The sequence below is a fragment of the Homo sapiens genome, chromosome 2 (assembly GCF_000001405.40).
Source record: "Homo sapiens chromosome 2, GRCh38.p14 Primary Assembly".
NCBI lineage: Eukaryota > Metazoa > Chordata > Mammalia > Primates > Hominidae > Homo > Homo sapiens.
This window is the reverse complement of record NC_000002.12, coordinates 38854044-38873303: the sequence shown is the minus strand read 5'-3', so window position 1 is coordinate 38873303 and position 19260 is coordinate 38854044. Positions and strand designations below refer to the sequence as shown.

Here is a 19260-nt window from a genome sequence, read left to right as displayed (position 1 = left end):
TATTGAGGTTTATGGCTGGGCACAGTGGCTCACGCCTGTAATCCCTGCACTTTGGGAGGCCAAGGTGGACAGATCACCTGAGGTCAGGAATTCGAGACCAGCCTGACCAACATGGTGAAACACCATCTCTACTAAAAATACAAAAATTAGTCAGGGAGCATGGTGGCGGGTGCCTGTAGTCCCAGCTACTCGGGAGGCTGAGGCAGGAGAATCGCTTGAACCTGGGAGGCGGAGGTTGCTGTGAGCCAAGATTGTGCCACTGCACTCCAGCCTGGGCGACAGAGCAAGACTCTGTCTTAAAAAAAAAAAAATGTATTGAGGTTTCTTTTATCACCTAGTATGGTCTATATCCTGGAAAATGTTTCATGTGTACTTCAGAAGTATGTATAGTTCGTTGTTGGGTGGAGTGTTCTATAGACACCTATTAGGTCTAGTTGGTTAGAGTGTTGTTCAAGTCTTTTATTTCCTTGTTGATCCTCTGTCTAGTTGTTCTACCATTAAAAGTGAGGTACTGTAGTCTCCTACTATTATTATTGAATTGTCTAATTCTCCCTTCATTTCTGTCAGTTGTTGCTTTGTGTATTTTGGTGCCTTATTATTAGGTACATATGTGTTTTTAATTGTTATCATTTCCTGGCAGATTAACCCTTTTATCATTAAGAAATATCCCTATCTCTAGTAATATTTTTTGCTTTAAAGTCTGTTTTGTAAGCTATTAACATAGCCACTCCACCTTTCTTGTAGTTGCTGTTTGCAAGATCATCTTTTTCCATCCTTTTACTTTTCATTTATTGTGTCTTTGAATTTAAAGTGCCTCTCCTGCAGACAGAATATATTTGGATCCTGTTTGTTAATCAAGTCTGACAATCTCTGTCTTTTGATTGGACTGCTTTATTCTCTCACATTTATTTTTATTGTCTATATACTGAGAATTACATCTAACTCTATTCTACTTTTGGATGTCTGTATTTCTCAATGTCTATTTTTTCTTCTGTTCTTACTTTATGCTTTCATTTGCATTTAGTCATTAAGTGAATATTTTCTAATGTAGTATTTTTGTGATTGCTTTGGGGTTTATGAACAACTTCAGATTTATATTAGCTTAATTCCAGCAATATTGCTATGGTTTGAATGTTTACCCCCAAAGTTCATGTATTAGACATTTAATTTCCAATGCAACAGTGTTAGGAGATGGGGCCTAATAACAGGTAATTCGATCATGAGGGCAGAGCCCTTATTAATGGTTTAATGTCACTAGCATGGGAGTGGGTTAGTTATAGCAAGAATGAGTTATTAGGCCGGGCGCGGTGGCTCACGCCTGTAATCCCAGCACTTTGGGAGGCCGAGGCAGGCGGATCACAAGGTCAAGAGATCGAGACCATCCTGGCTAACATGGTGAAACCCTGTCTCTACTAAAAATACAAAAAAACAAAAACTTAGCCGGCGGCGGTCACCTGTAGTCCCGGCTACTCCAGAGGCTGAGGTGGAAGAATGGCATGAACCAGGGAGGCAGACCTTGCAGTAAGCTGAGACCACGCTACTGCACTCCAGCTGGGGCAACAGAGTGAGACTGTCTCAAAAAAAAAAAAAAAAGAATGAGTTATTATAAAATAAGTCTGGCAGCTGGTACCTCTCTCTGTATCGTGCCCACTTCTGCCTTCCATCTTCCACCATGAGATGACACTACGCAGATGCCAGCATCATGCTCTTGGACTTCCCAGCCTCCATTACCATGAGACAAATAAACTTCTGTTGTTTATAAATTACCTAGTCTGTGGCATTCTGTTATAGCAGAAAACAGACTAAGACAGATACATAGAAGTATTACTTTTATATAGCTCTATTCCTTTCCTCCTTTTTATAGTATTGTTATACATATTATATCTATTAATGTTATATACCCAACTATACTTGTTACAAGTATTACTTTACTGTCTGTAGTCATTTTCTCAGCACAGCACAATTACGCTCCCACCAATCTTCTTTGTGCTGTTATTGGCAAATATATTACATACATATTACCTTCTTGTAGGTGACATGCCCAACATTATATCATATACATATTATTTTATATAACTGCTTTTTAAATCATTTCAGAGAAAAGAAGAGACAATACTTTTGTACTGGTTTTCAAATAAATAAATGTCCAATATAAATGTGGATTTTTAAAAATAATTACTCAATTACCTTTACTAGTACTCTTTGTTTTTTCATGTAGATTTAAATTACCATCCAGGGATACTTGCCTCAACTTGAAGAACTGTTAGTATTTCTTGTGAGGCGGGTCTATTGACAACAAATTCTCTCAGTTTTGTTTGTCTGAGAAAGTTTTCATTTTACCTTCATTTTTGAAAGATAGCTTTTCTGGATTTTTGGTTAACTATTTTTTGTTGTTTTTTTTTTGTTTTTTGTTTTTTGTTTTTTTGAGATGGAGTCTCACTCTGTCACCCAGGCTGGAGTGCAGTGGCGCAATCTCGGCTCACTGCATCTTCTGTCTCCCATGTTCAAGTGATTCTCCTGCCTCAGCCTCCGAAGCAGCTGGGACTACAGGTGTGTGCCACCACACCCAGCTAATTTTTTGTATTTTTAGTAGAGACAGGGTTTCACTGTGTTAGCCAAGATGGTCTCGATCTCCTGACCTCGTGATCTGCCCGCCTTGGCCTCCCATAGTGCTGGAATTACAGGCATGAGCCACCACGCCCAGCCCTATTTTTTTCTTTGAGTATTTTAAATATATATGTCATTACCTTCTGCCCTCCATTGTTTCTGTGAAGAAATCAGTCATTAATTTTATTGGGGTTCCCCCCTGTAAGTGATAAGTTGTTTTTCTCTTACTCCTTTCATGATTTTCTCTTTGTCTTTTGACCTTCAACATTTTTATTGCAACATGTCTATTTTGTGCATCTCTGTGTTTATTTTCTAATAGTTGGAGGCCATTGAGCTTCCTGCATGTAGAGGTTATTGATTTTTAATGAATCAGAGAAGTTTTCTACCATTATTTCTTTGAATATTTTTTCTGCTCTTTTCTTTCTTTCCTTTCCTTCTGGTATTCTCATTATATGTATATGGTACCCTTGATGGTGTCCCACATTTTTCCAAGGCTCTGTTCACTTTTCTTCATTTATCGTTCTCTCTGTTTTCAGCTTGCATAATCAATGTCAGTCTGTCTTCAAGTTCATCAGTTCTTTCTCTTGCTAGTTCATGTTTATGGTTGAGCTTCTCTAGTGAATTTTTAATTTCAATTAGTATACTTTTCAACTCCAGAATTCCCATTTGGTTCTTTTTATATATATAATTTTTTATCTCTTTATTGATGTTCTCAATTTGATATGACATTGTCATCATACCTTCCTTTACTGCTTTAATTGTGCATTCCTTTATTTCTGTGAACATACTTATAATGACTATTTTGAACTCCTTTTCTGTTAAATCTGACATCTGTTCTCACTCATAGGCAGTTTGTGCTTTTTCTCTCCAGTGTATGGGTTATACTTAAGTGTTTCTTTGCATGCCTTGTGACTTTTTTGTTGTTAACTGAACATTTTGGATAACATACTGTAACAACTCTGGGTACTGATTCTCCCCTTTCAGGGGCTTCTTATTGTTATTTGCTGGTTTAATTTTTAGTGACTGGCTAGAATATTTTAGTGAAGTCTATTTCCCTCCTACGATTTTAAGCCTCTGTTGTTGCTCCTCTGGGAGGTACAGCTTTAGGTATGCCCATGGTTGATTGCTGAATTGTTTTCAACAATGCTCTGGAGAGTAAATTCCTTTACAAACTAATCCAACCAAAGTATGGCTTCTTTGAAGCAATAGTTTCTGAGATCCCAGTTTAATACTCATTCTAATCCCAAAAAGGAACTTCCTAGTGATCTTATTCCTTGGTTTGCTTCCTGCAAACTAGTTGGCCAACAGTCTAAACTACATCTTCATTTAATCCTGTAATCTCCCTTTCCCCACAACCTCACTATTCTTGAAAGCACCTTTAGGTTTGAACTTCTCCACACTCCATTGTAAATGGAGTCAGTCCTTTGGAAAAAGATTAGGAGCTATCTGTCTTACGGCCTACTTCCCTTTTGCCCTTGGCAGAATCTCTGAGCCCAAGCTGTGTTCCTGATAGAGCATATATAAATTTAAATTTTGTCAAAACATATATTAAATACATGAAAACTTCTCAACTGGATTTTTAAAATCCTATGCTAGGCTGGGTGCAGTGGCTCACACCTGTAATCCAAGCACTTTGGGATGCTGAGGTGCGCAGATCACTTGAGGTCATGAGTTCGAGACCAGCCTGGCCAACATGGTGAAATCCCATCTCTACTAAAAATACAAATATTAGCTGGGCGTGGTGGCAGGCGCCTGTAGTCCCAGCTACTCCAGAGGCTGAGGTAGGAGAATTGCTTGAACCCAGGAGGCAGAGGTTGCAGTGAGCTGAGATCATCCGGCCTGGGCGACAGAGCAAGACTCCATCTCTAAATAAATAAATAAATAAATAAATAAAACTCTAAATTAGACCTAACCAAATGAGAATCTAGGATTAAAGCCTAGACATGTGTATTTTGACACTTCTCCATGTGTTTATGATGTACATCTTTAGTTTAGAAATCTGTATCAGAGACATTCACTAAATATTAGTCCTGAGGTAGAAGTGCTTATAAATCTTTTGTGAAGATTTATCCATACTATCCCTAAACTGGCTGGCTCTTTTTATTTTGTAGTTTTAAAATTTTTTCACTGGAACAGATTCAGAATCCTGCCCCAAGACCAGCTCTTTTTACATATGCATTTTCCTTTGTTTCTTTAAAGTAGCCTATATTCATAAGTTTGGCAAACAAAGGATTATCATACATGTCTGGTTTTATGATGTCTACATTAATTTTTTTCTCTTGCAGGTGAAAATGAGTTCTTCAGTAAGAAGAAAAGGCAAGCCAGGCAAAGGAGGTGGAAAAGGGTCTTCTAGAGGAGGAAGAGGAGGCAGGAGTCACGCCAGTAAATCTCATGGGAGTGGTGGCGGTGGCGGTGGTGGTGGTGGTGGAGGTGGCGGCAACAGAAAGGCCTCCAGTAGAATATGGGATGATGGAGATGACTTTTGTATCTTCAGTGAATCAAGGCGCCCTTCCAGGTCATTATAACTCTTTGAATGTTTAAATATGGAAATGGTATCAACCCCTAATGTATGGGACAACAGATGGCTGAGAATGGAAAAAAAGTCGAGTAATTCTGGTCAAATTGTCTTCCTCTTTGTAACCCTTTTCTGAAGACATGATGGGAAATAACAGCTTTTGTGTGTATGTAGGTTGCATGACACTGTGAATTGAGTGTAATACTGCTATTATACCCAGTGTTACTAGGAAAGTAAATACAGAAATAGTGTGATGAAAATTATTTTAAGTATTCCTTATGCATCATAGACTGATGTTAAAATGATGATGTTAACATTGAACATGGACAGGTACGGTGGCTCACACCTGTAATCCCATCACTTTGGGAGGCCCAGGTGTGTGGATCGCTTGAGGTCAGGAGTTCGAGACCAGCCTGGCCAATAGGGTGAAATCCTGTCTCTACTAAAATACAAAAATTAGCCAGGCATGGTGGCAGTCACCTGTAATCCCAGGTACTAGGGAGGCTGAGGCAGGAGAATTGCTTGAACCCAGGAGGCAGAAGTTGCAGTGAGCTGAGATCACACCACTGCACTCCAGCCTGGGTGACAGAGTGAGACTCCATCTCAAAAAACAAACATTGAACAGCCTAAAGTGCAACATGACTGTACTGTGTCTTTCTAGTTGATGAGCTGTGTATTTTCCAGCCAAATCAGCCATCATCTGATGGTGTTACATGTGGTGACCAGTAACAGATGCCTTATCTAGGTTTCTCTCCTGTTCAACTTTTAACTAATGAATAAATTATGGGAATTCTAGTAATTCTAATGAGTATTTAATAAAAGTAAATGTTTTGCTATTGCATGTTATACAGTATAACTACAATTAGGCATCACTTAGTGACAGAGATGTGTTCTGAAAAATGCATTGTTAGGCAATTTCATTGTTGTGCAAACATCATAGAATGTACTTACACAACCCCAGATGGTACAACCTACAACACACCTAGGCTGTATGATGTAGCCAATTGCTCCTAGACTACAAATCTATACAGCATGTTGCTGTACTGAATACTCTAAGCAATTATAACACAATGGTAAGTATTTGTGTATCTAAACATGTCTAGTTGTAGAAAAGGTATAGTAAAAATAGAGTATAAGAGATTAAAAATGATACCTATGTAGGGCACTTACCGTGAATGGAAGTTGCAGGACTGGATTTTGCTCTGGGTGAGTCAGTGAGGAAGTGGTGAGTGAATGTGAAGGCCTAGGGATATTACTGTACACTACTATAGACTTTATAAATAGCAAGCAGCATAGTCTCTCTATGTTGCCCAGGCTGGTCTTGAACTCCTGGGCTCAAGCGATTCTCCTGCCTTGGCCTCCCATAGTGTTGGAATTACAGGCGTGAGCCACTGTGCCTAGCCAAGAACCTAACTTCTGAGTTAGCTGCAGCTCCATAGTTTTTCAAAACATGGACATTATAGGTTCTTGGAGTCCGTAGATGTTCATTCATTTGGTAAGTATTTACTGAATGCCTACCATGCACCAGGCACTGTTTTAGGGACTTGGAATTGCAGCAGGGAGTAAAATATTGTCCTTATCTAGATAGAATGGGATTTGAGATAGAAAAACCATAAACAAATGTATAACATTACCAGGTGCCGCATGCTATGGAGAGAAATAAAGGAGTGTAACAGGGATATAAAATACCAAAATAGAATTGTTAATTTATGTAGAAAGCCCCCCTAATAAGGTATCACGTGAAGAGAGGCAAGAAGTAAGTAAAGGAATAAGCTGTGAAGTTCTGAGTACAGCATTCAAGGCAGAGGGAAGAGCAATTTCTTAAGGCAAGAATGTGCTTGGAAGGTTTAGGAAATAGCAAAGAACCATGTGGCTAGAATGAGTGGGCAAGAAGGCAAGTGGTAGGCAATTAGATCAGAAAGACCAGACTGTATAGGACTTCATGGGCCATTATTAGGACTTTGGCTTTTACATGAAGTAAGACAGAAGGCCTTTGGAGGGTTTGAGGCAAGGGTGTGTGATATTATCAGTCAGTCTGGCCAGAGTTGTTTCTATTCAGTGTATGCCTTTATGTGAATTAGAAAATGGTGCTCCTTCCTTTGGACAGTTATAGCCCCACACCAGGATCATGGCTTAGCCAGCAGAACATGGACCGGATTTTGCTGTCCCTTCCTCCCTCTTCTTCCCTCCCAGCCAGGAACCTTTGTGCAGTGTACAGTCTATGAATCTATACTCAATAGCATTGACTGGGTGTGCTTTGTAGAGAATAAACTATAAAGGGGCATGAGTTGAAAGCAAGGAGACCAGTTAGGAGATGTTCTCCAAGTGTAGATATAAAATAGATAATTTAATATATAAATCTGAGGTTCAAGAAAAAGATCTAGGCTGGAGATGTAAATGTGTGAGTCTTCTATAGATAAATGCTAAAGTTCTGAGTCTGGATAAAATCGAATAGAGAAGGTATCTGATGTTTGAGCCCTGGGACACTCTAGGTTTTAAAGCTAAGAGAATTTGGAATGTTCCCAACACAAAGAAATGATAAATGTGTGAGGTGTTAGATATCCTAATTACCCTGATTTGATCACTACACATTGTATGCATGTATCAAAATAGCACATGTACCCCTGTATTAGTCCATTCTCACGCTGCTATAAGGACATACCCAAGACTGAGTAATTTATAAAGGAAAGAGGTTTAATTGACTCACAGTACCACAGGGCTGGGGTGGCCTCAGGAAACTTACAATCATGCTGAAAGGGGAAGCAAAAGCATCCTTCTTCACAAGGTGGCAGGAGAAAGAAGAATGAGAGCCAAGTAAAGGGGGACACCCCTTATAAAACCATCAGATCTCGTGAGAAGTTACTCACTATCACGAGAATAGCATGGGGGAGACTGCCCCCATGATTCAACTACCTCCAACCGGTTCCCTCCCATAACATGTGGGGATTATGGGAACTTCAATTGAAGATGAGATTTGACTTGCAGCCAAACCATTATCAACCGTATAAAGAATGTACAATTATTATGTGTCAATAAAAATTTTTAGTTAAAAAATAAATAAAGCTAAGAGAAAGTATGAAAAACAAAGGGGATTGAGAAGGAGCTGCCAATGAAGTAGGAAACTAAGAGAGTGGTTTTTGGAAGCCAAGGGACAAAGGTGTTTTAAAGGAGAGTAGCCAATAAGATCGAATTGTATGCTTAAAGAGGGTACACATTTGTGGAAAAATGCTTCTGGTAGGTCAAGGAAAATGTGCACTAAGAATTGTCCACTGCATTTGACAATGTGGGTATCATGGTTAACCTTGACAAGAGCTGTAGTAGCATAGGAAATACTGATTGGGTTGTGTTTCAGAGAGAAGAGGAAAGAAAATGGAGACAGAGACAATGATTTTGATAACCTAAATGAGAAGTTTTACTATAAGGGAGCTAGAGGGAGGAGAGATGGGTCAGTAGCTACAGGGAGATGTGCACTCAAGGGAGGATTTGGCTTGGTTTCATTTTTTTAAGAGGGTAGACCTTATAGTATGTCTGTATGCTGATGGGAATGATCCAAAGAAGAATGAAAAACCAGTGATTTAGAAAGGGGGATAAGTGCTGGAATGATTTCCTTGAGGAGATTAAAGAGATTGGCATATAGTTTACAAATAGAAAGGCTGACTTTAAGATAAAGGATGACTTTAAGATAGGAGCATGTGAAACTCCCAACTCCCCCTCATGTTTAACTGATCATTTCCTAATGATCAGACAAATCATAAGAGATTATATATGCTGTGTAATTTTTTTATTTCTTTTTTTTTAAATAGAGACAGGATCTTGCTATATTGCCCAGGCTGGTCTCGAACTCCTGGGGCTTAAGCAATCCTACCACTTCAGCCTCTTAAAGTGCTGGAATTACAGGTGTGAGCCAATGCCCCTGGCCTTTTTTTTTTTTTTTTTAATAATCAGAAATAAAGATAATTGGGTATTTTAGAAATGGGGCCTTAATATTCACAAGGAAGAATGAAACTCAGTGGTTTTCAGATTTTAATGCAGAATGAAATGAAATGCTCTTCATGTCCTATAGTGCAGAGGAAACCATCATTAGCATTGCTTTTTCCTAAGGATTCTTGAGTTAGTGAAGCCAGAATTAATGATTAAGAATCTGTTAAGTTTTGTTGTTTTTTTTTTTTTTAAACGGAATCTCGCTCTGTTGCCCAGGCTGTAGTGCAGTGGCACAATCTTGGCTTACTGCAACCTCTACCTCCAAGTTCAAGTGATTCTCCTGCCTCAGCCTCCTGAGTAGCTAGGATTACAGGAGCGCACTGCCACGCCCAGATAATTTTTGTATTTTTAGTAGAGACAGCATTTCACCATGTTGGCCAGGCTGGTCTGAAACTCCTGACCTCAGGTGATCCGCCAGCCTCGGCCTCCCAAAGTGCCAGGATTACAGGCGTGAGCCACTGCGCCTGGCCAAGAATCTGATAAGGTTTTTTTCCAGCAGGTCTGATATAATGAAGTCTGGTAAATACTATAGAAAATGGAGAATCTCCTCACATTCATTGTCATCTTTTGTAAGATACTTGACAATCCAGTTTGTATTGTGTATATCTGGGGACCCCTGAGGAGAGTGTAAAAGTTCTGATTGAAGATATGTGTGTAATTTTGCTCTTTTGTTCTCTATAGACCTAGCAACAGTAACATAAGCAAAGGAGAGTCACGCCCAAAATGGAAACCCAAAGCCAAAGTACCCCTTCAGACTCTACATATGACTTCTGAGAATCAAGAGAAAGTGAAAGCTCTTCTCCGAGACCTGCAAGAACAAGATGCTGATGCTGGATCTGAGTAAATTGTTTTATTTGAGTCAATTATTATATTAAGGAAAACATACTGGCAGTGTGAAGGTCCTGTGCATCTTTGGAATGCTGTGTCAGTACTGATTCTATTGTGGCCATTTAATTAGTTGAAAGTGAGCCAAGAGTAATACAAGAATAATTATTCAGCCACAATTTTAGAGTGAGTTTGTTTTGCAACATCCATGGGATTGCCTTTTTATCTTTATTTTTTTCCAGGGCAGTGCTCATATGGATTCAGTAACTGATTTATCTGTAACCTTCCAGATAAACCCTTGTAATGAACAAGTAGAAGTAGTGTTGAATGAGCAAATATTGACTCGGTCAGGTGCAGTCTTAGGATTTGCTTGTCATGACTGTCTGCCTAAGAGAAAGCTTTTACTCTTAAATCTTATTCGTTTCCCACTCTACTGCATTTCGGCTCTTTTGCTTTGGATTTCAGTTGGAGAAGTTAATTCCTTCTTTCCATTTACCAAAATTAATTAGTGGCCAGTCATGAACAGCTCATTTTCCATCCTATCTACAAATCTCTTATCTGTTTTAGATTTAGAAAGGGAGATTATGTAGCAAAACAAACAATTAGGGATAGTGTTTTTATGAATGAGAAGAGAGAGAATAGCCAAGGTTTCTGTGGTTAAGAACACAGGAATCTGTCTGCCTTTGGCAAAATCTCTATTTGCTCCTTAATGTGTAACCTAGGCAGTTACTAATCCTCTCTGAGTTTTAGTTGATCATCTAGAAAAAAAAAAAAAAAAGGACATTCCAGTAGTATTTGGTACAGTTATTGGGAAGATTAAAGGAGTTAGTTCATATAAAGCACTTAACACAGTAACTGGTATTTAATAAATGCCTGGTAAATGTTAATTGCCAAGATATAAATTAATAGTTCAATATAAGATTAAATCAGCAACTGAAGAGTAGTCAGGATCCTATGAATTAAATTCTTAGACCTTTGCTAAATTTTTCTTTGAAGTAAGTAGAAAGTAATATCTAATATATGAAAATGTTGCCTTTGCTAGAAGAGGCCTTTCTGGGGAGGAGGAAGATGATGAGCCTGATTGCTGTAACGATGAGCGGTACTGGCCAGCTGGACAGGAACCTTCCCTCGTTCCCGACTTGGATCCTTTGGAATATGCTGGCTTAGCCTCAGTGGAGCCTTATGTTCCAGAATTTACAGTCTCCCCATTTGCAGTGCAAAAACTTTCCAGGTGATTGCTTTGATCATTTATGGGAGTTGGGAAAGAATTCAAGGAAACCGAAATCATATAAACCCACTACCCCTCTTTGTGTACTTTCCTATTATGTGGGTTCCAGCAATGCCTGATAGGCCTAATATTCTATCTTATCAGAAGGGGTCATTCAGGGGGGCTTATTGTTATCAGGGATGCTTTTTCAAAATACAAGCCCTGCCTATGTGTAGTCATAACTTCATCTAAGCATATTTAAATGAATTTTACTGTAATGGTGTGATACTGCTTTTTATGTGTCATTTTTGTCATGTTTTGCCCTTGACAGGTATGGTTTCAATACTGAACGCTGTCAAGCGGTCCTGAGGATGTGTGATGGAGATGTGGGAGCATCACTAGAGCATCTCCTTACCCAGTGTTTTTCAGAGACATTTGGAGAGAGGATGAAGATCTCTGAGGCAGTCAACCAGATAAGCTTGGATGAGTGTATGGAACAGCGACAGGAAGAGGCATTTGCTCTCAAGTCCATCTGTGGAGAAAAATTTATAGAAAGAATTCAGAACAGAGTCTGGACCATTGGGTTAGAACTGGAGTATCTGACAAGTAGATTCCGCAAATCCAAGCCAAAAGAAAGTACCAAAAATGTACAAGAGAATTCACTTGAAATCTGTAAATTTTACCTCAAAGGAAATTGTAAATTTGGATCAAAATGCAGATTCAAACATGAAGTGCCCCCAAATCAAATTGTTGGAAGAATAGAAAGAAGTGTAGATGATTCTCATCTTAATGCTATTGAAGATGCATCTTTTTTATATGAACTTGAAATTCGATTTTCTAAAGACCACAAATATCCCTACCAAGCTCCGCTCGTGGCATTTTATTCCACCAATGAGAACCTACCTCTGGCTTGTCGTTTACATATTTCTGAGTTTCTTTATGACAAGGCCTTGACATTTGCGGAAACTTCGGAACCTGTCGTATATTCTTTGATAACCCTTTTAGAGGAAGAGTCGGAAATAGTCAAGTTACTAACGAATACCCACCACAAGTATAGTGACCCTCCTGTGAACTTTCTGCCAGTACCCTCTAGGACCAGAATAAATAATCCTGCCTGTCATAAAACAGTGATTCCAAATAATTCTTTTGTTTCTAATCAAATTCCAGAAGGTATGTAAGGCATTGATCTTGTGGAGGGAGGCATTCAGAATGATGGGTTTAGAAGTCAAAGCCTTTAAGGCTGGTCTAGGATGGCTTAGTGATCTTGAACAAGCTGAACAAGCCATTAAGTCCCAAGGGCAAAAGGGAATGAGAATTCCCTGAACTGTAATTGTATCTGACTTTAATTGTAAGGCTCAATTGTGTTGCTGTGGTTGGGCTCCCTGAGTTGAAAGTTTGTAGTGACGTATGTTTAACTATATAAAATCCGAGGCTTGGAAGGACCTTAAGGTACGTTCTCAGAAAATCTGTTTTATTTAATTCATTTGGTTTTCTTTTGTTTACTTCTTATACTGTATACTGAATTACTTTCAAATGAATTTTTAGAGATATTTTGCTTTCTATACCACTATCCATACCCTCCTGCTTTTGGTGTACTAGACCCCCAGAATTCTTTAGGGATAGCTCTATGAATCCCTAAATCCTCAAATACTTGTGCAGGCTTCTAGCTTTGTCTAGATCTAGGTTTACTGTGCAAATTCTTTTTATTTTTATTTTTTTAAGATGGAGTTTCACTCTTGTCCCCCAAGCTGGAGTGCAGTGGTATGATCTCAGCTCACTGCAACCTCTGACTCCCAGGTTCAAGCGATTCTCCTGCCTCAGCCTCCTGAGTAGCTGGGATTACAGGCACCCGCCACCACGCCTGGCTAATTTTTCTATTTTTAGTAAGACAGGGTTTCACCATGTTGGCCAGGCTGGTCTTGAACTCCTGACCTCAGGTGATCCGCCTGCCTTGGCCTCCCAAAGTGCTGGGATTACAGGCGTGAGCCATCGCACATGGGCTGCTATGCAGATTCTTACACCACAAGTAAGCCCCTTTCAAAGAATTCTCTGCTGGGTGTGGTGGCTCATGCCTGTAATCCCAGCACTTTGGGAGGCTGAAGTGAGAGCACTGCTTGACCCCAGGAGTTTGAGACCAGCCTGGGCAGCATAATGAGACCCCATCTCTAGAAAATATATATATTTTCTTAGCTAGTCAGCCATGGTTGTGCACTCCTCTGAGTCCCAGGTACTCAAGAGGCTGATGTGGGGGAATCACTTCAGCCTCAGAGGTAGAAGCTGCAGTGAGTCATTGCATTTCGGCCTTGGAGACAGAGTGAGACTCTATTTCTTAATTAAAAAAAAAAAAAAAAGGATCCTCTTTTATTGGTTGCCATCTATCTTTCTTCCAGAGAAACAAAAGTTTGTATTATTTCATGAGAGTCCTTGGGTAAACTTCAATGAGTAGAGAACAGTGACACTGTTCTGAGATGTGGCTGCTGGTCATTTAGCCAGATTCACTCACTAACCACCCGACCCACTCCCAGATGGCAGCTTCTAGCGCATGGGATTCAAATGTGTTCCTTGGGAAATGAAAATTATGTGTCATGCACTTTTTTTCTAAAATAATAGTTTTATTGAGACATAATTTATATACCATAAAATTCACTCTTTTAAAATACACAATTCAATGGTTTTTAGTATTTTTATAGAATTATGCAACAATAACCACCTTTTAATCCCTGGACGTTATCATCAACCCCAAAAGAAACCCTGTACCCATGTACCCATAGCAGTCTCTCCTCATTTTCCCCTTCCCCCAGCCCCTCATAACCACAAATCTGCTGTCTATCTCTATGGATTTGCCTACTCTGGACATTTCATAGAAATGGAATTACACAATATGCAGCTTTTTGAGATGGGCTTCTTTCACTTAGCTAATGTGTTCAAGGTTCATCCGTGTTCTAGCACATATCACTACATCATTCCTTTTTATTAGTGAATAATATTCTATTATGTGGACATACCACATTTTGTTCATTGATTCATCATTTGATAGATATTTGTGTTGTTTTACGTTGTGGGATTTGGGGACACTTGCGTACAGTTGAAACATTCACTGCTAATTCTTTTAATGCTAATTACTTTGTTTGTGCTTGATAAAAGTTTATTTGAGGATGCATTTTAAGTTCTTTAGAAATAGAAATACTAGAAATGAATGAACTTACTTTATTCAAGTTTTCACTTTTTCTCCATTTTGACTTTTTGTTGTTGATACTCTGTTAGACAGCGACTTTCCCCTTTTGTTAAAGAAAGGGCTCCATACTGAAATGTTTTCTTTTATTTCCTTCAAGTTGAAAAAGCATCAGAATCTGAGGAGTCAGATGAGGATGACGGTCCTGCACCTGTTATAGTAGAGAATGAAAGCTATGTGAACCTTAAGAAAAAGATTTCCAAAAGATATGACTGGCAGGCAAAGTCAGTACATGCTGAAAATGGTAAAATCTGCAAGCAGTTCCGAATGAAACAGGTAGGGTATGCTGAGAGAATGAGTAACGTTGCCTCCCTAATATCTGGATGATGGGATTAGGAATTAGGGAGCTTTGGCTACCCTCCTTAAAATTCTTCTGGTTCTTTTTCTCCCTGAGTGGTCAAAGTTTCTACAGGCCACAGCAAACTTAAGTGCATATGCTAGATGGTTTTGGAAAATCCTATAGCTGGTACATAGCAAACACACACATATATGCCAAATAGTCTCAGAGTCATGTGCCTTTGGTACTGTGACAGACAATCTGGTATGTAAAAGGAATATCAATACTGTGGTTTACTGGCCGGGCACGGTGGCTCACACCTGTAATCCCAGCACTTTGGGATGCCAAGGTAGGCAGATCACCTGAGGTCAGGAGTTCAAGACCACCCTAGCCAACATGGCAAAACCCTGTCTCTACTAAAAATACAAAAATTAGCCGGGCGTGGTGGCAGGTGCCTGTAATCCCAGCCACTTGGGAGGCTGAGGCACAAGAATTGCTTGAACTTTGGTGGTGCAGGTTCCAGTGAGCCATGATTGCACCACTGTACTCCAGCCTGGGCAACAGAGCAAGACTCTGTCTCAAAAACAAAACAAAACAAAATAAAAACAAATACTGTGGTTTAGAGCCAGGCGGGCGTGGTAACACATGCCTGTAGTCTCAGCTACTTGGAAGGCTGAGGCAGGAGGATCACTTGAGACAATGCCAGCCTGGAAAACATAATGAGTCCCTGTCTCTAAAAACAAAACAAAACAAATACTGCGATTTACCTTAGAAAAAATTAATATATAAAAGGAGAAGGATAAGGAAGGACTTTTACCCTGTTTCAAAGACTCAAAGGATAAATAATGTGCCCAAGATCGCATAGCTAGTAAGTGGTTTAGCCAATTCTGTTTCTAAAGTCCATTTTGTTTTTACCCCATTCACATGAAGATTATTTTAAAAGAATTCATAAGTGAATCCTGAGGGCAAAGTTAGAGATAGGACAGAGGCAAGTTGCTTAACCAATATGGGAATTGGATTAAATGCTCTCTAGGCCCTCCAGTTCTAAAGTTCTGTGAGTCTGATTTTTGACACCATGTAACACCATCACATATGTAGTACAATACCCAAAGAACATCACAATGTATATAAATTGCACTGTAGGTAAGATGATAGAAACAAAAAATTAGATATTCAATTTGATCAGTGTGATAAGTTTATGATAAAATTATATGTAGGAAATAGCAAGTTCCTGTAAATTTATTACAGTATTCAAAAGTATAGCCAGAGTTTTAACAAACAAGGCAATTTTTATAGCATTGGCCATTAAATATGAAATTGATTTATATAGTTGTAGTGACTGCCCAAAAATAACCCTTTAGTGAGTGCTTTTCTATTATTGATTTAGGTAAAAATCTGATATTGCTTAGAGCTACGCTGTCTGATATGGTAGCCCCTACCCATGTTTGGCTGTTTATATTAATTAATTAAAATTAAAAATTCAGTTCCTCAGTAACACTATTCTTCACATTTCAGGTGCTCAATAGCCACATGTAGCCAGGTGTTGCTGTATTGGACAGCACAGGTATAGAACATTTCCATCAACACGGAAAGTTCTATTGGACAGTACTGGTATAGAGACTCTTGTTGGGAAGAACTGGATATGTGCTAAGCAAGAGGGCTTTATTTCACCCAGAAAATCTTTCGGTTTATTCAGATGTTGGAAAACTAATGTACAGATTCCACAACTCATTCTGGCTGATTCTCTGAGCAGCATTCTGAATAAAGTCTTCTACATCCAATCCCAACAAATCCAACAAAGGATCACTCAAGGCCAGGAGTGCAAGACCATCCAGGGCAACATAACAAGACTCTGTCTCTATAATTAAAAAAAAAAAAAAGCTGTAATCCCAGCACTTTGGGAGACCAAGGCAGGTGGATTCTTGAGCACAGGAGTTTGAGGCCAGCCTGGGCAACATGGTGAAGTCCTGTCTCTACAAAAAAATACAAAAAGCCGGGTATAGTGGCACACACCTGTAGTCCCAGCTACTTGGGAGCTTGAGGCGGGAGGATCGCTAGAGCCTGGGAAGTGCAGATTGGAGTGAGCCGTGATCGCACCACTGCACTCCAGCCTGGCAACAGAGTGAGACCCTGTCTCAAAAAAAAAAAAAAAAAAAGAAAAAGTAACCCAACTGATATCTTATCTTTGATTTTATTAGGCTTCCAGACAGTTCCAGTCCATTCTGCAAGAGAGGCAATCACTCCCTGCTTGGGAAGAAAGAGAAACCATTCTTAACTTATTGCGTAAGCACCAGGTGGTTGTCATAAGTGGTATGACTGGGTAAGAATGCAGTTTATTCATCTGTAGCTTTCATCTATAAATATTATATGCACCCTGGTTACCATAACCAGTTGAACTTGTTAAAAACTGTAGCTGGATTTATAGATATTATATACATCTGCCTTGAGACATAAGGCAAAAAAATCCAGCTGAAGACTTTTAACAAGGCTCATGTTTAAATTTAAAGGATAGTTCTAGAACATTTAGCTTGAGAGCTTTTTATCTTCTGAATTTATTCTGATTTCCTGTCACGCAGGCTGGAGTGCAGTGGCATGATCTCGGCTCACTGCAACCTTTGCCTCCTGGGTTCAAGTGATTCTCATGCCTCAGCCATCCGAGTAGCTGAGATGACAGGCGCACCACTGTGGTGCACCACCATACCCAACTAATTTTTGTGTGTTTTTAGTAGAGAGGGGTGTTTTACCATGTTGGCCAGGCTGGTCTCGAACTCCTGGCCTCAAGTGATCCGCCTGCCTCGGTCTCCCAAAGTGCTGGGATTACAGGTGTGAGTCACCACACCCAGCCTTTATTTTTCTTTTAAAAACAACTTAATTATGGTGCGTTATTTTTCCTGCTTTACATTCTCCTATTTAGCAGGGACAAATTGCAGACTTCATTTATTTATTCAAGAGTATACAATTTAATAATTATATTTGTGTCCAGACTCAGTGATATGGTAATAATTCGTACCTTCTAGTTTATCTTTTTAACCTCAGCCTAATCATAGCTAAATTAATACCTATAAAATATTTTGATAATCATAAGCTAATACTCCTTTTCTTTGGGGTTCATGTGTAGAGTTTACGTTCCTAGAAGCATTTACAGACCTTAATTTAATGTCTGTTCAATAGTCCCAATTTTACAAATGTTACTAAACTATTATTTGATTGTCCTTTTGATTGGAGTGCAAATTCCTAGAATTTCCCACCTCTTGGTAATAAGTCAGGAGGTTGTTTTAGAAAATACCTGAAACTGAACAACTTTTATTCTAATTAGCTTTATCACTTTTCTCATTCCATATGATTGCTTCTTTAGTTAACTAGCCCTTGAAAACTTCATTTTAGGACTTATTTGTTTTAATGTACAGATGTGGGAAAACCACACAAATTCCGCAGTTTATTCTGGATGATTCTCTGAATGGACCACCTGAGAAGGTAGCCAACATCATCTGTACCCAACCCCGACGAATCTCTGCAATCTCTGTTGCTGAACGCGTTGCTAAAGAAAGAGCAGAGAGGGTGGGTCTGACCGTGGGATACCAGATTCGGTTAGAAAGTGTCAAGGTTTGTATGCTCTGCTTATTTCCTGGTAACAGAAATTTATGGTTTTTAGGTATAAAAAGTTTTGGGGGTTAGGAGATTCATGGGCAATTTGGGATATATACTTTCAGGTTATTTTTAAATTAATGATTACCTTTGGTAATCATTTATTTAAATATTTAGAAATATTTAGAAATATTTTGGTATAAGAACTCTTATGGCCAGGCGCGGTGGCTCACACCTGTAATCCCAGCACTTTGAGAGGCCAAGGCAGGTGGATCACCTGAGGTCGGGAGTTCGAGACCAGCCTGACCAACATGGAGAAACCCCATCTCTACTAAAAATACAAAAATTAGCCAAGTGTGGTGGCACACGCCTGTAATCCCAGCTACTCGGGAGTCTGAGGCAGGAGAATCCCTTGAACCTGGGAGACGGAAGTTGCAATGAGCCGAGATTGCGCCATTGCACTCCAGCCTGGGCAAAAAGAGCAAAATTCTGTCTCAAAAAAAAAAAAAAAAAAAAAACTCTTATTTGGTTGTACTAAATTTCCTCTGTAAAGCTTTTTATTTTTTATTGGCAGAAGTCATCTAGTAAAGACTGTTTTGCTCTTGAACTTGGGACATAATCCATTTAACCAAATAAGGAGCAGACAGATTGAGAACTGTTTTCATTATTCACTGTTTTTTAATGCTTTTTATGAAAATCTTAACATTGTGATATGAAGTAGAAAGGCTTTTATTACTGTCCCTGGCAAGAAACTATGTTTAGTATGGTTTCCTATTAAATGGAACTGCTGGTGTTTCCAATATTTTTTATCACTATCCATTCAAAATGGCTTTCCAGTAATGTTTCCTTTTTTTGAAAATTTTATTAATGATTTATATTGCCCTTTCATGTGTAAGTCCTCAGCCACCAGACTGTTATACTGCACCACGGGAGTGCTGCTGAGAAGGCTAGAAGGAGATACAGCTCTACAAGGAGTTTCCCATATCATTGTTGATGAAGTTCATGAGAGGACAGAAGAAAGGTAAAACAAA

The 19260-nt window shown here is 39.1% G+C and overlaps 1 protein-coding gene across 8 annotated transcripts in view; it reads left to right on the top strand.

Moving 5' to 3' along the window:
• The window catches only part of DHX57 (DExH-box helicase 57), a 78206-nt gene that overhangs the window by 2631 nt on the left and 56315 nt on the right, over positions 1–19260 (top strand). For 6 of the 8 annotated variants that reach the window (NM_198963.3, XM_011533154.3, XM_011533155.3 and 3 more), the window contains exons 2-9: positions 4893–5122; positions 9785–9943; positions 10971–11159; positions 11467–12305; positions 14468–14643; positions 16843–16964; positions 18052–18247; positions 19126–19250. In NM_198963.3, the coding sequence (NP_945314.1) occupies positions 4899–5122; positions 9785–9943; positions 10971–11159; positions 11467–12305; positions 14468–14643; positions 16843–16964; positions 18052–18247; positions 19126–19250 (2030 nt within the window). In that variant the 5' untranslated portion in view covers positions 4893–4898. Of the gene's footprint in view, positions 1–4892; positions 5123–6071; positions 6196–9784; positions 9944–10970; positions 11160–11466; positions 12306–14467; positions 14644–16842; positions 16965–18051; positions 18248–19125; positions 19251–19260 lie in introns of those variants that run through there. The other 2 variants (NM_001329963.1, XM_024453215.1) reach the window with 2 other exon arrangements.